Source organism: Homo sapiens, chromosome 6 (assembly GCF_000001405.40).
Source record: "Homo sapiens chromosome 6, GRCh38.p14 Primary Assembly".
NCBI classification, from domain to species: domain Eukaryota; kingdom Metazoa; phylum Chordata; class Mammalia; order Primates; family Hominidae; genus Homo; species Homo sapiens.
In genome coordinates this window covers 124650909-124664526 of record NC_000006.12, presented here as the reverse complement: position 1 = coordinate 124664526, position 13618 = coordinate 124650909, and the positions used below count along the sequence as shown (strand labels likewise).

General features: G+C 37.2%; 1 protein-coding gene across 9 annotated transcripts in view; it reads right to left on the bottom strand.

Moving 5' to 3' along the window:
• NKAIN2 (sodium/potassium transporting ATPase interacting 2) overlaps window positions 1-13618 on the bottom strand; it is a 1021776-nt gene that overhangs the window by 161114 nt on the left and 847044 nt on the right. For 7 of the 9 annotated variants that reach the window (XR_007059213.1, XR_007059214.1, NM_001300737.2 and 4 more), the window contains one exon: window positions 6141-6341. The exons of the other annotated variants lie outside the window; for them this stretch is intronic. Coding sequence is in view for 5 of the 7 variants with exons in the window: in NM_001300737.2 (NP_001287666.1) it covers window positions 6141-6341 (201 nt within the window). In the remaining 2 variants the exon portion in view is untranslated. The remainder of the gene's footprint in view (window positions 1-6140; window positions 6342-13618) is intronic. 9 annotated transcript variants of the gene reach the window in all.

Below are 13618 nucleotides of genomic sequence, written 5' to 3'. Positions count from 1 at the left end.
TCACACTTCTTTGCAGAAAATATCTATGTATAGGTATAAATTTGTATATATGTTAAATATGTATAAGCTTAAATTTGATTTTTTCCCATGTCCATAAGGCATTGTGTTGAAAATGTATTCTTGTTTATCAACACAATTATTGTTATATAAAATTGATCAAAACAACATTATTATAAATATTGATTAAAACTACTAGGTATAAAATAAAATTTTATTTGATATGAATTTCTTTTTTTTTTCTTTCTTTTTTTTGAGACAGAGTCTTGCTGTCTCGCCCAGGCTGGAGTGAAATGGTATGATCTCAGATCACTGCAACCTCCGCCTCCCGGGTCCAGGCAATTCTCCTGCCTCAGCCTCCCGAGTAGCTGGGATGACATGCATCCGCCACCATGTCCAGCAAATTTTTGTATTTTTAGTAGAGACGGGGTTTCAGCATGTTGGCCAGGCTGCTTTCAAACTCCTGACCTCAAGTGATCCACCCTCCTCAGCCTCCCAATGTGCTGGCATTATAGGCATGAGCCACCAAGCATTAGCACTAGAATGAGACAGAATTAAGGACGATTCAATTTCTAGGTTTTTTTTCTCCTTAAGGTTTAAGCATTGAAAAATCTTGTTCTCTAAATAGAGAAGCATTGAAGGCTTTTCATTATAATGATGACACTCAACGGCAGCAACTTTTTGCATGCCACAGTTTACATAATTATTTATAACAAAATTTATTTCAGATAGTCTACCAACTGACAAATCTATTAGGTCTTCCTTCAATTTTAATGAAAGCAAAGAATTGAAAATTGCCCAATTTGCAACAGTAATTTCTGGGAAGTACACCAAAAATACTACCAAGACATAACAAACAATTATTAATTATATTCCTACTTCTTTCTCCTATAGTCACCTAGTTCAAACTGATGTATATAATAACAGTTTGGGAAATACTGAAATGTTATTTAATTTCAATATATGTTTTTTGAAATAATATTTTCTATCTGTTTAAGAAGTCATGCGTTTTGGGTATATTTTTTGTCAAACTGTGAAGCTGCAGATCTGGCTAATTTAGTTTTTGAAAAATGGCATAATATGTAACTTTTTTTTTTTTGAGATGGAGTCTTGCTCTGTAGCCCAGGTTGGAGTGCAGTAGCATGATCTCGGCTCACTGCAACCTCCACCTCCCAGTTTCAAGCGATTCTCCTGCCTTAGCCTCCTGAGTAGCGGGGATTACAGGTGTGCACCACCACACCTGGCTATTTTTTTGTGTGTGTATTTTTAGTAGAGATGGGTTTCACCATGTTGATCAGGCTGGTCTCGAACTCCTGACCTCGTGATCCAGTGGCCTCGGCCTCCCAAACTGCTGGGATTACAGGCGTGAGCCACCACACCTGGCCAAAATCTATAACTTTTAAATGATGAAATCATTATCTACTGTGAATCAATTCAAATCAAACTAATTTTTCCTTTAAAATACTGTTTTATTTTTTAATTCAAATAAATGTAACAAAGGATAGTCCCATGGCCATGGCAACCACACCACTTCTGACTGCTGAGTAGCTAGTATCAGCTCATATCACTTCCCACTCATCCCTTTCAAACTACACAAGTTCACAACTTAGATTTAACATGTAAAACGTGAATGGCAATATTCTAGGTGACGTGGAAGTCAGAATTCAAATCTTAAAAATAAAATCTTTGTGAATGTTTCCAGATTAAAAGAGGCATCAAACAGCAACATGCACAATAAGGCCACTCCCATGCATACAACATACATATCAGCTACATCCAAAGAAACACCCATGTGCCATTCCCAACACAACCTCAAGTCCACTTGGATAAAGAGTTTCAAAGTTTGGAAAACTTCTTCACTAACGGTATCCTCAGTAAGTCTTAGCCAGACAAATGGCAAACATAAATTATTAACAACATAACTAAACACATCTGTGACTTTACTGACCCCAATGTATGCATTTTATCTACATTTTTTTCCTCAATCTGTTGAAAAATAATTTTTACCATTTCATGCACTCTACAAAGTAGAGAGTTTTCTGAATAGGGAATAGATATAACCGAAGGAGAACTTGACTTTAAACTATTTTTAGCTATGAACCAGGTACCAGATATTAGAACCTTTTCTAATGTCATCCATGGCTTCCCTGCTCATTTGTACACTGTTTCTAAGTCAACACTAATGGCTGTGGGAAAACAGAAAGCTTACATATATATATATATATAAATTATTCTTTCTGCACATTTGTTTGTAAAACACACTCCCTGTTCATTGTTTTTATCACAGGAAGTAAAGTATAATATGTGCATAATAAATGTGAGGCACATCCCTCTTCATTCCCCTCACCTGTGGCAGACATAGCTAATCAATCATGGCATCCTTTGCTGCTCAAGAACCCTGAATTTTTACACTCCGGGAATCCATTATCCATCAGCTGCTGCTGGCATTCAGATTGAAGACTATTTCCCAACCTTGCTATGACAGCATGTTCATTGTCCCTATTTATTAGCTAAAATATCTTAGGAAGAGCTTTTAACCTATTCTGCTGCCCTCAGAGGACTGTTACACAATCAAAAGATTTAATTCATGTGAACATATTTTATAATCCATGCTGTTCCAATCACACATTGAAAGGATCCGATTAATTTTTCTGTAACGTGAACAATAATATCTCCCCAATTGATCTCCTCCTTGGCTCTCCCCACATACATTTATTTTATCTATTTTGAAAATGTGGATTTTTTTAATTTTTGGTTTTATTAAATCTGTGCACATCTGTATTCTTTTTGAATGTGCTATCTGATGCTAACCAGAAGAAAATATGGCTGGAGAAGGAGAAAGCTCGAAATATCACACCTGGCTCATCATTATGGTGTTCTGGCAGTCTTTTCTGCACGGCTGGAAGCTGTGTGATTAATAGCCCCTCGTCCCAATTATATGGATATTATACTTGTCTTCCTTTGGCTGTAGATTGGAGATATCTTATGTATGTGTGATGCAAATGTGGGCTTTGTGAATGCTAATTTCAGAATCAGCCAGGAGTTGATTGGCAGAAAACCGAACAACAGGGTGACAGGCTTGCCAGGGTTCAGGAATCTGTGAAAGAAAGGCTGAATGAGGGTGGAGACAAAGAGCTGGAGAGATTTGGAGTTAATCAAGAGCAGTGGCTGAGAAAGCAGCAGTTTATGAAAGCAGATCTAAGCCAGATATGCTGGAAGAGAGGGCAGTTTCAAAGACTTGGATGAAAACAGTGAGAAGAGTGAGAGTTCAGCTGACTTTACAAAACTGCATGGAGCTAAGAAGCCAAGATTATGCCTTAAACTGCATAAGCCATATTCTTTGTCTACCACATCCCCCAAATGTGCCTGTTTGCACCTCGTTTGTGCTTTGGGGAACGTTGCTGTATATTTGACTGTGACAGCCTCAAGGTCAGAGGTCCTGACACCTTTGCTTCTCTAGATGCCAGAAGGAGACAAGCACTGAGGAATTTTCCACTAGACTGATTTAATGGAACATTTGATTGTCAAGGAGATGATCTGGGTAACACAAAAGGGGAGGGACAGAGATTTAAGACACTATTTCATCAATTAATCATTACATCAGTGATCAGAATGAAGATAGGAAATTTTGTTTGCAGAGCAAGTTGTTAAAGATAAGCCTTTTTGATTTGCATTATAAAACTCGAGTTCAAATTTGCTAAGTTTTCTGTATAGCAGACACATTCAACCCAAAGCTGGCTAGATAAGAGCAAGCTCAAAAGTAGAAAATGTGTTGAAATTTCTCCAAGTAATGCCGTGGCTGTGCCATTGCTAACTCTGGTGTTCCACAGTCAACATTGCAAAAGTAGTACACCCCTGGAAAGAACAGGTGGAAAAGGTAGAGGTGAAGATGTCACATCCTAGGATGGTTTACTCAAACTATTCCTTCACTCCACTGGGGGGAATGCAGACAGGAGAAACAAGAGCCAGTAGCATGAAATATTGGTCACATCTGTTCTTAGCAATAACCCATCCATCTTCTTTGCACTCTAGCCACCTTGCTGTTACAGATGGTTTCTACTTAAGGAAAATTATCTTTTCTTTGGGTATGTATGTCAACTTCAACATATGCCCCCACGTCCAAATGTATTTTTTTAGCACATTCCCTATGTGTCAGCATTTTATGTGGCATTTAATAAATCTGTGAATCTATTTTACGCACACATACACACATAAACTAATTCAAAAAACTCTATAAATAGTCATATATAAATATCCATGCACATAAACTGTATCTTCACTTCATCCTTAAAACATAGGTGGAAATTTTCCAAAATTTTGTGGGTACAGTAAAGATAGGCAGTTCTACAGAAGGAATATTTTGTTTAAAACCTCCTTTTAATACATATATAAAGATATTTTATCTGACCCCAAATCACAGAAATATTTCACTTTTCTCATGTGATAATGATTACTTGATTTAAATGGATTTTAAAGAATGAAATGGCTACTTCCATCCTGTCAAGTCTAACTTATTTTTACTTCAGGATAAGCAAAGTAAGCACTTTTAGATTTAAAACTATTACAGAAGAGTTTGTTAATTGGAAGGAGTGTCTATGGTTGAACATATTCAAGGGATATTACTTAGTGTTTTAGCAAAGAACATAATTCAAATGTTCTGGACATCATTTATGCTGATTTCCAAATAAACAGCCCTTCCTCTTTACTGTCCATTCTGTGATTGGGTGGGACTGTGTGACCAATTCCGCACAATGAACTGTGAACAATGAGCCTTCCTCCCAAGCAGAAGCATGTGTGTGCCCATGTAGACCCTCCACAGCTATTATTACTTTCTGGCACAGTAACCCATGATGATGGAGATACTGGCTACTCAACTAGCCTTGTTTCCTTACTGACAGTGATCAGTGGAGCCTCCTGCTGACACACAAGAAGAAACCTTCATGACTTTTATTTACAGAGAATTTGGAAGTGTTTACTAACATAGCATACTTAGCTTCCTTAGTCTATCACAACACACACACACACACATAAGCACACACATTCCATTAAAAATATAACAAGGATATATTAGTTATATCATCTAACACTGACACACTCACATAGTTTTTTTTTTTAATTCCAGAAGAATTTTATGTTTCTCTGAATTGTATGCCACTCTACCCAGAAACTATTATTTATTGTTATCCAAGAACTGTGAGTCAATATCATTTCCAAAATAATTAACTAAAGAGGTAAAAAGCAGATTCTGCTTGCATCATTTGTTGCTAACAATTTTAATACTATGCACATCAATTGCACATCCACATAGAATCTAAGAAAAATCTATGCAGTTCTGCATTTAAGATCTGTAATGAATAAATGGATTCATGTGTCATAAAGTTGCCTTAACTTTATACATCTCATGATATTATGCAGTTGGCCTTCTTGAGAAAGAGGTGTTTTAATTTATCTCTTTGTCATAGTAATACAATGTTAAATCATGTATTTTATATAAAATAGGCATATGTTGTACACATATGTTATTTGTAAGTGCTACTGCCTCCTGGTAGAAGGAGGTTTTTTTTTTTTTTTATTGTTACAGTACTATGAAAAATGGGGGCATGAATGTCTTAGAATTAGAATCTATAGAAAATGTGATTTTTTCTGGAAAAAAAGTGGGAGATTAAAGGTGATGGATGGTGCCTGGGAGAAATCTAGGAAGGAAGAAGGAGATAGGGCAAATGAAAAAGAGAAATCCCAGGGCTAGCAGCACAGCCAAAAGAAGCACTAAAAGAGAAAACACTTATGGAAATCTTATAATTTTGAGTACTGTAGAACGTTATGAAAAAAATCTCTGATCATCCCTTCAGAATCCTTGGAAAAGTCTACCAAAAGTCACGTAATCACATCTTGACTGATTGGATTTCCTATGTAAAATGCTGATGATAACAAAGGGTATTTACTAATTGTCGAAGAAAATCAGCACACTAAGTCCAGAGGATGGTTTAGTTTAACCTGAGGATTTCCTGTTAAAAGTCGCATTAATGAGGAAAAAGCAAAAAGGCCACACTTTACCCACAGATTCCATTTGTGTGCACTGAGTTCGCACAGAAATAAAACAACCCCAGAGGCACTAGAAGGAGCGGTTGGCTGCCAACACTTACTGCGAGGACAATCTGGAGGGAACTATGAGCCACTTCTATGTACTGGTACTCCAGCAAACACCCTGAGACCGTGATGTAGCGATGGTCTTCTGGGGCCCAGTCTGGGGCAGGTGTCACTGACGTCACCGTACATCCTGGTCCATTCTCCATCCACCAAGATCGGTGCATTGATATATTAAAAGTCAGGATAAGGTCTGTTTCCTGCAAGAAGGCAATTTACAAGGATGAGAATTACTTTATAAATGTTAGTCAGCTTACTTGGGACTGACTTGCTTTGACTTTCCCATTTGGAAATGTGGGTTTGTTTGTTTTTTTTTTCCTACCCCATGCTGTATTTTACAGGAAGCGAGGACACAGCTAAATTAATTATGCATCTATGGATTCATCCTACTTATGAAGGTTTTTCCTGACTATAATAATATAGATCAAATTATTTTATTGGAGAAATTCCTAGTGATTTATATTACTAATGATTTATATTCATTGTAACACTGAAGAGTCTTTACCTTTCAAGGGTCTTTCCCATTACAAAGGGAAGGATTTAAACTTTTATCAAGTGAAGTTCATGCTATTCTAAATCTGCTTTATTTTTTTCTCTCAAAATGTTTACTTTTCACACATTTTAAATCTTAAAGCTATACTTCAATTCTGCAACATTTAACATAATATTGTGGCTAATGCTTGAATTTGTAAGACCCTTACTTAAGAAAACATAATATTACTTGCTTCCCCCTCTTCCTGTTATTTGGGCAAATCAGTGTCTCTTCAATCTTATCACTTTTTGTGAAATTGGTCATAATGTTTCTTAAGAATTAAGAAGTAAATATTTTTTAGGAAATATTATTATCAAATTCTTGTAGGGTGGAGATAATAAATCAACTATTTAGATGAAGTTCACCATGTTAGGTGATACCCAGCTGTAAATGGAATAAAAGTAGAATTTTGCACTCAGAGAGCTTGCAATCACCTATGCCAACTTGGAGCTATCAATGGCACATGGGCAAATGTTGTCTTCCAGGGAAAGAACGGCTAAAGGAAATGCATCAAAAGCATTTTATTATTCAGCAAGTCATGAAGGAAGATAAGTTCTAAGAAAAAAAGGTCAGTTATGGGAAATTGCACTCTATCAGTTTCAGTGATAGTTATGGCCACAAGATAATAGGTGCCAACTACTCACTCCAAAGTGAGGTTCTGATGGACTAGGCAGACCCTGTACAGATAACGTCTTAAGTCATCGTTTGTGACGTGGAGCCACACACTCACATTGAACATATGGAAAGGTTGAGTTGAAATGGCCAGGGAATTTGGAGATTGCAAGTAGAACTTCTTTGGAAAAAGGTGTGCTATGAATGTCATCATCTCCATGGTGGTGGTTGGGTGGGGTAGGGGTGATCTCTTTTTTTTGCAAGCCTGTTGAGAAAAGCTTCAAAGTATCTTTGGAACCTAGGAAACACAGCAGCTAGTGTCTGACTCAGGCCTGATAAATCTCAAAATAGAGTCTGTGGCTAGAGCTACCTGAGAAGTGGTCAAACAAAAATTAGGCAGTATGAGAAAGGAAAGTGCACTGCTACATATCATGGATCTAAAGTAATGATCCTTGGTAGCAGATGTGGGCTGTCATGAGAGAGAGCTAACGTGGGTTTTCTTCCAAGGATTTCTAAGAAGACTGGTGGGTAGGGGGGTGATGGCTGAATCTTTACCATCACCTATTCTTAGGGCATGAGGGAGGGAGTGTTAAAATATAGTAAGTATGGAAGAGACACCAACTAAATCATGTACCTACAGATGAGATATTTAATGCAATGCAGGGTCTCTGAAAACCCCAGAAAAGTGTCTCGAGACACTTTTCAATCTCATTAGCCACCAAATTCTGTTAGCCTAGATATCTCTCCTGCTCCCTTATCTCCTCTCCATTGCTATACTCCAAGCATGGTGGGGTCTGAGATCTCAGATAATAGTTGTGAGATAGGGATGGGGTTAGTTAGTAAAGATCGAAGTGAAACACAAAGCATACAACTTTCCCTACAGGAAGGAAGAAGTTTAATTTTGAATACAATTTGGATTTTTTATTATAATGTCAGACATTAATTTCTGAACACAGACTTCTTTGGAAACTATAGTGACTTTGGATAACTTGTTATTATCTGGAAGTAACCACAAAAGTAGGAGATCTGCTATTTATTTTATCCAATGGTAGCAGAAGAATCAGGTCCATGGGGAGCCCTGTGGGGGAAATCATGAGAAAGGAATGTTTTTTATGTTATTTTTCTCAAAATCATGATCATTTAATGTTTGGTTACCAAAGCAAACTGGATAAATCCCCAGGGCCTAAGAGAAAAGAGAAAACCATTCAAAAGGGCAACCAACAAGAGACTAAGCCATGAGGGCAGCCAGGCTTGGACAGCCCAGCAAGAACACAATCCAGTTCCCTAATCCCTGGTGATATCTAATATCCATAGCTCAAGGTCTCGGTAAACCTCCCTCTCTCACAGGAAGTCAAGACCAACCACAAGTTTCCATTTGAAACAATGGTAAGGAGGATTTTCTGAGACTTAGAACTTGGTTATTTGCATTATTGCTTCTCATTGGTTGAAGCAAAATTTATCATACAAAGCAAGATGATTCAATAATCAACTCAACTATGTATGAGTTTATTAGGGGTAATCATAATTGCAAACAGGGACCAGAGCCCAAAGCAGTGACAGTGAAAACATGCTTGTGAGCTGTTAGACACAGAAGTGGTTCAGATAGGTAACTATCCCATTATGCCCGGGACTGTCATGAATTTTGCAATGAAAGTCCCTTGTCCTTGGAAGCCCCTTAGTCCCAAGCACACCAGGACAGTTAGTCACCATAGCTGCAGAGACAAGTTTTTAAAAAGCATTGATGTTAGTTGAGTTTGTTGGCCACTAGAGCTATGGTAATCAGAAGTGATCATTTATTTACTAATTATTTATATCCTAACTACTGCCAAAAAAAAGAGTCTTGTCATAATAAAGCAAACATATACCATTAAAACAAGGGTAAAAAATAAGAACCAAAAAAATGGAGATGATAGCTAGTGAGCCAGGAAACCAAGACATGAGTAAGTGCCTCACTTGGATACTCAATTCAGAACTGACTTGTTGGTAATAATGGAGACACAATGGGAACACAGCTATCATCATCTAAAAGAATGAAGAATACCATGGCCCCAAGAAAGACAATCTCTTCTTTCCTAATACTAATTTCTTAAGAGGAATTAACAATTATATAAATATTTCATATAAAATATTTATAATATATTGGATGGTATCGTTAATTGATTTTTCTTCCATAATTTCAAGAATACTGGCAGCGAATTATGCTGGATTTAACAGACATCTGAGCCATCTTTAGCTCCTCTTTCTAATACAGTAACTATATTAGTTTGCTAGGGCTGCCATAACAAAGTACCACAAATAGGGTGGCTTAAGAAGAAACTTATTTTCTCACAGTTCTAGAGGCCAAAATTCTAAGATCCTGGTGTAAGTAAGGTTCTTTCAAGGGGCTTTCTGTGAAGAAGGATCCATTGCATGCCTCTGATGGTGTGCTGGTAATATTTGGCATTCTGTGGCTTGTAGAACCATCACCCTAATCTCTGCCTTCATTCCACATAGCAACTTCCCCGGGTGCCAAGCTGTATCCAAATTTCTGTTTTTAAAATATAAGGCCTCCAGTTGTATTGGCCTAGAGCCCACTCTAATGACCTCATTAAGTAGTCACATCTGAAATGATCCTTTTTCCACATGAAGTCACATTCTGAGGTACTGGGGGTTAGGCCATAAACATAAGTTTAGGGGAGCAGGCATAATCCAAATGGTAACACCAAACTCTAATTTCTCTCTCTCTTTTTTATTTTATTTTTCATTTCTCCAGAGGGTCAGTTCTAAGTTTTCTCTTTTGTTAAATTTATTTACTTTTTTGGTATTTTCTCTTTTAACTTACGTTTGAGATTTCTAAAGGTCATTTGAACCTATTGTCTGGATGACAAGTAAAATATTTTATTACTTCATACATTTATTTATATGCTTTCTATATTATTTATTACTTAGAAAATCAATTAACTACATATATTTTAAATAATTACATTTACCATAAAGCTGTAGCCAAAAATAGCATTTCTTGTCCACGGTTCTTTCCATTTCATAGTACCCTATTGAAAGGCAACCACTTTCATTTTTTATAACTGTTTCTTTAAGTATTTACTTTTGTTTTGTAAATATCATGCTCATGTTGACATTATTCATTTATCATTTAAGTATTATCTCCTATTTCTAGTATGAAATGTGTGAAGTAACATTTTTAGAAATATTCCCTTTCTATTCCTCACCATTCTGTATAATTTTCTCTAAAATTTGGTTGTATGAATATTACAAAATTTGCATTTCCCTGATGACATACGATGTTGAGACTATTTTCATATACTTATTTGCCATCTGTTTATCTTCTACAGTGAGATGTCTGCTAAGATCTTTGGCTCATTTTTAAATTGGGTTGTTTGCTTTTCATCATTGAGTTTTAAGAGTTCTTTGCCTATTTCAGACTCAAAAAGATAAAAATTATATTGTTAAAATATAGATTAAAATACCATACCTGGTAGTCTTTTATCATATATGTCTTTTGCAATATTTTCTACCAGTCTATGGCTTGTCTTTTCATTCTTTTGATAATACTTTCAGAAAGAAGTTTTTAAATTTTAACTAAGGACAGCTTGTTAATGCTTTTTTTCATGGATCATGCCTTTGGTGTCATATTTTAAAAGTCATTGCCAAATCCAAGTTCATCTAGATTTTCTCCTGTGTCATTTTCTAGGAGTTTTACAGTTTTGCATTTTACATTTAGGTCTTTGACCCATTTTGAGTTAATTTTTGTCAAGGACACAAGGTTTGTGTCTAGATTTTTTTTTTTTTTTTTTTTTTTTGCATGTGGATGTGCAATTATTCCAGCACCATTTATTGAAAGGACTGTCTTCCCCTTTGCATTGCCTTTCCTCTCTTGCAAAAAACAGTTGACTATATTTGTGTGGGTGGACTTCTAGGTTCTCTATTCTGTTCCATTGATCTATTTGTCTCTTCTTTTGCCAATACCACACTGTTTTAATTACTGTAACTTTATATTAACTCTTGAGGTTAGGTGTTATTGGTCCTCAAATTTTATCGTTTTCCTTCAATATAGTTTCGTCTATTCTGGATCTTTCACCTCTCTCTATATACTTTAGAATCAGTTTGCCAACATCCATAAAATTACTTGCTGGATTGTGATGAATCTATCGATCAAGCTGGGATTAACTGAAATCTTGAAAATCTTGAGTCTTTCTATCCATAAACATTGAATTTCACACGATTATTTATTTGATTCCTTTTAAAAGAAGTTTGCAATTTTCCTCATATAGATCTTGTACATATTTTGCTAGATTTTGCTGTAGTTTGAATGTATCCCCCAAAATTGTGTGTAGGAAACATCCCCCAAAGCAATAGTGTTGGGAAGTGAAGCCTAATGAGACATGATTAGGTCATGAGGACTCCAGGCTCACCAATGGACTAATGCTGCTATGACTGGAGTGTGTGGGGCTTCATTATCATGCAAGTGGGTTTGTTATAAAAGGGTGAGACTGGCCTTTTTTTCACTTCCTCTCTTGCACTCTCTGTGCCCTTCTACCTGGTGATGCCTTCTGCCATATTATAACACAACAAGAAGGACTTTGATGGATGCCGGCCCCTTGATTTTAGAGTGCCCAGCCTCCAGAATTGTGAGAAAATAAATTCTTGTTTATTGTAAATTACCCAGTCTGGGGTGTTTTGTCATAGTAGCCCAAAACAAACTAAGATAGAAAACTGGTACCAGAGGAATTGAGTGGTACTATAACGAATACCCGAAAATGTGGAAACGATTGAGAGCTAGGTAATGAGTAGAGGCTGAAACAGTTTTGAAATGAATGCTAGAAAAAGCTTGTATTGCTATAAATGGAGGATTACAGACGATTCTGGTGAAAACTCAGAAGAAGGAGAGCTACAGGGAAAGTCTGAAACTTCATATAGATTACTTAAGTGGTTATGATAGGAATGCTGGTAGAAATATGGGCAGTAGAGGCCATTCTGATGAGGTCTCAGATGGAGATGGGAAACATCTTTTTGGAAACTGGAGTAAAGGCCATCCTTGATATAAAGTGGCAGAGAACTTTGCTGAATTGTATCCATGCCCCAGGGCTTTATGGAAGATGGAATTTAAGAGTGATGATCCAGGATATCTGGCAGAAGAAATTTCTAAGCAAAATATTACAGGAGTTGTGTGGCTTCTTTTAACTTCATACAGTAAAATCCAAGAAGAAATAAATTATTTAAAGACAAAACTAGATTTAAATAAAATGATTTAAAGGGAAACACACTTAGGGATTTAAAGGAGTTTCAGCCTTGACCATATGGTACAGAATAAAAGACCTTTTTTAGGAAAGAAATCCAAGGGTATGGCCAAGTACACATTTGATAAGGAGATCAGTATGGCTAGAAGAAAGACAGGTGTTATTCATCAAGATAATGGAAAATGATTCTGAAGGCATTTCTGTGATCTTTGAGACTTTCCCTCTTATCATAGACCCAGAGCTGTAGGAGGGCAGAATGATTTTGGGAGACAGGTCTAGGATGCCCTCCACAAGCTCCTTGACTAGGGCCACTTTGGGCCTCTGTTCCCTGTGTTTATAACTCTGTTCCCCACATTCAAGAAGCTTGTCTCCTTGTCTCCCACAGCTGTGGCTTAAGCAGCCTCAAGTACAGCTCGGGCCACTGTTCCTGAGGGCTCAAGCAGTAAGCCTTGAGGCATTTATGTGGTGCTGACTCTGCAGACGTGCCAAGTTCATGAGCTATGGAGTTATGGCAGCATCCACTAATCAAAGAATACATTAGGCAGCCTGGGGCCCAGGCAGAAACCTGCTTCGGGGCAGAGTCACTAAGCAATGATTAGTGGAATACAGGTAGTGAGGCTACTGCAGAGAGTCCTCCCTAGGGCAAGGTCTGATGGAGCCACAGTAGTGGGGCCATCCCCAAGACCTCAGAACTGCAGAGCTACCAGTCTGCAACAACCACCCGGAGAGCTGTAGTCATGACACCCTATCCTGTGAGAGCTGCTATACAGGCTGAGCCCAGCAAAGCAATAGAGGTGGGGCTGCCTAAAGCCTTGGCGGCTTAACTCCTACCTCAGTGTACTAAAAAGATGGGACATAGGGTCAAAACAGAGATTATTCTCCAGCTTTAAGATTTAATGTTGTTTGCCCTATTGGGTTTTGGACTTTATTGAGACAAGTCACCCCTCTTTTCTTACCTATTTCGCCCTTTTGGAATGGGAATGTCTACCTTATGTCTGTCCCACCATTGTATTTTGGAAATAGATAACTTGTTTTGATTTCATAGGCTCAAGCTAGAGGGAATTTGCCTCAGGAAGAATTGTGCTTTGAGTCTCATCCA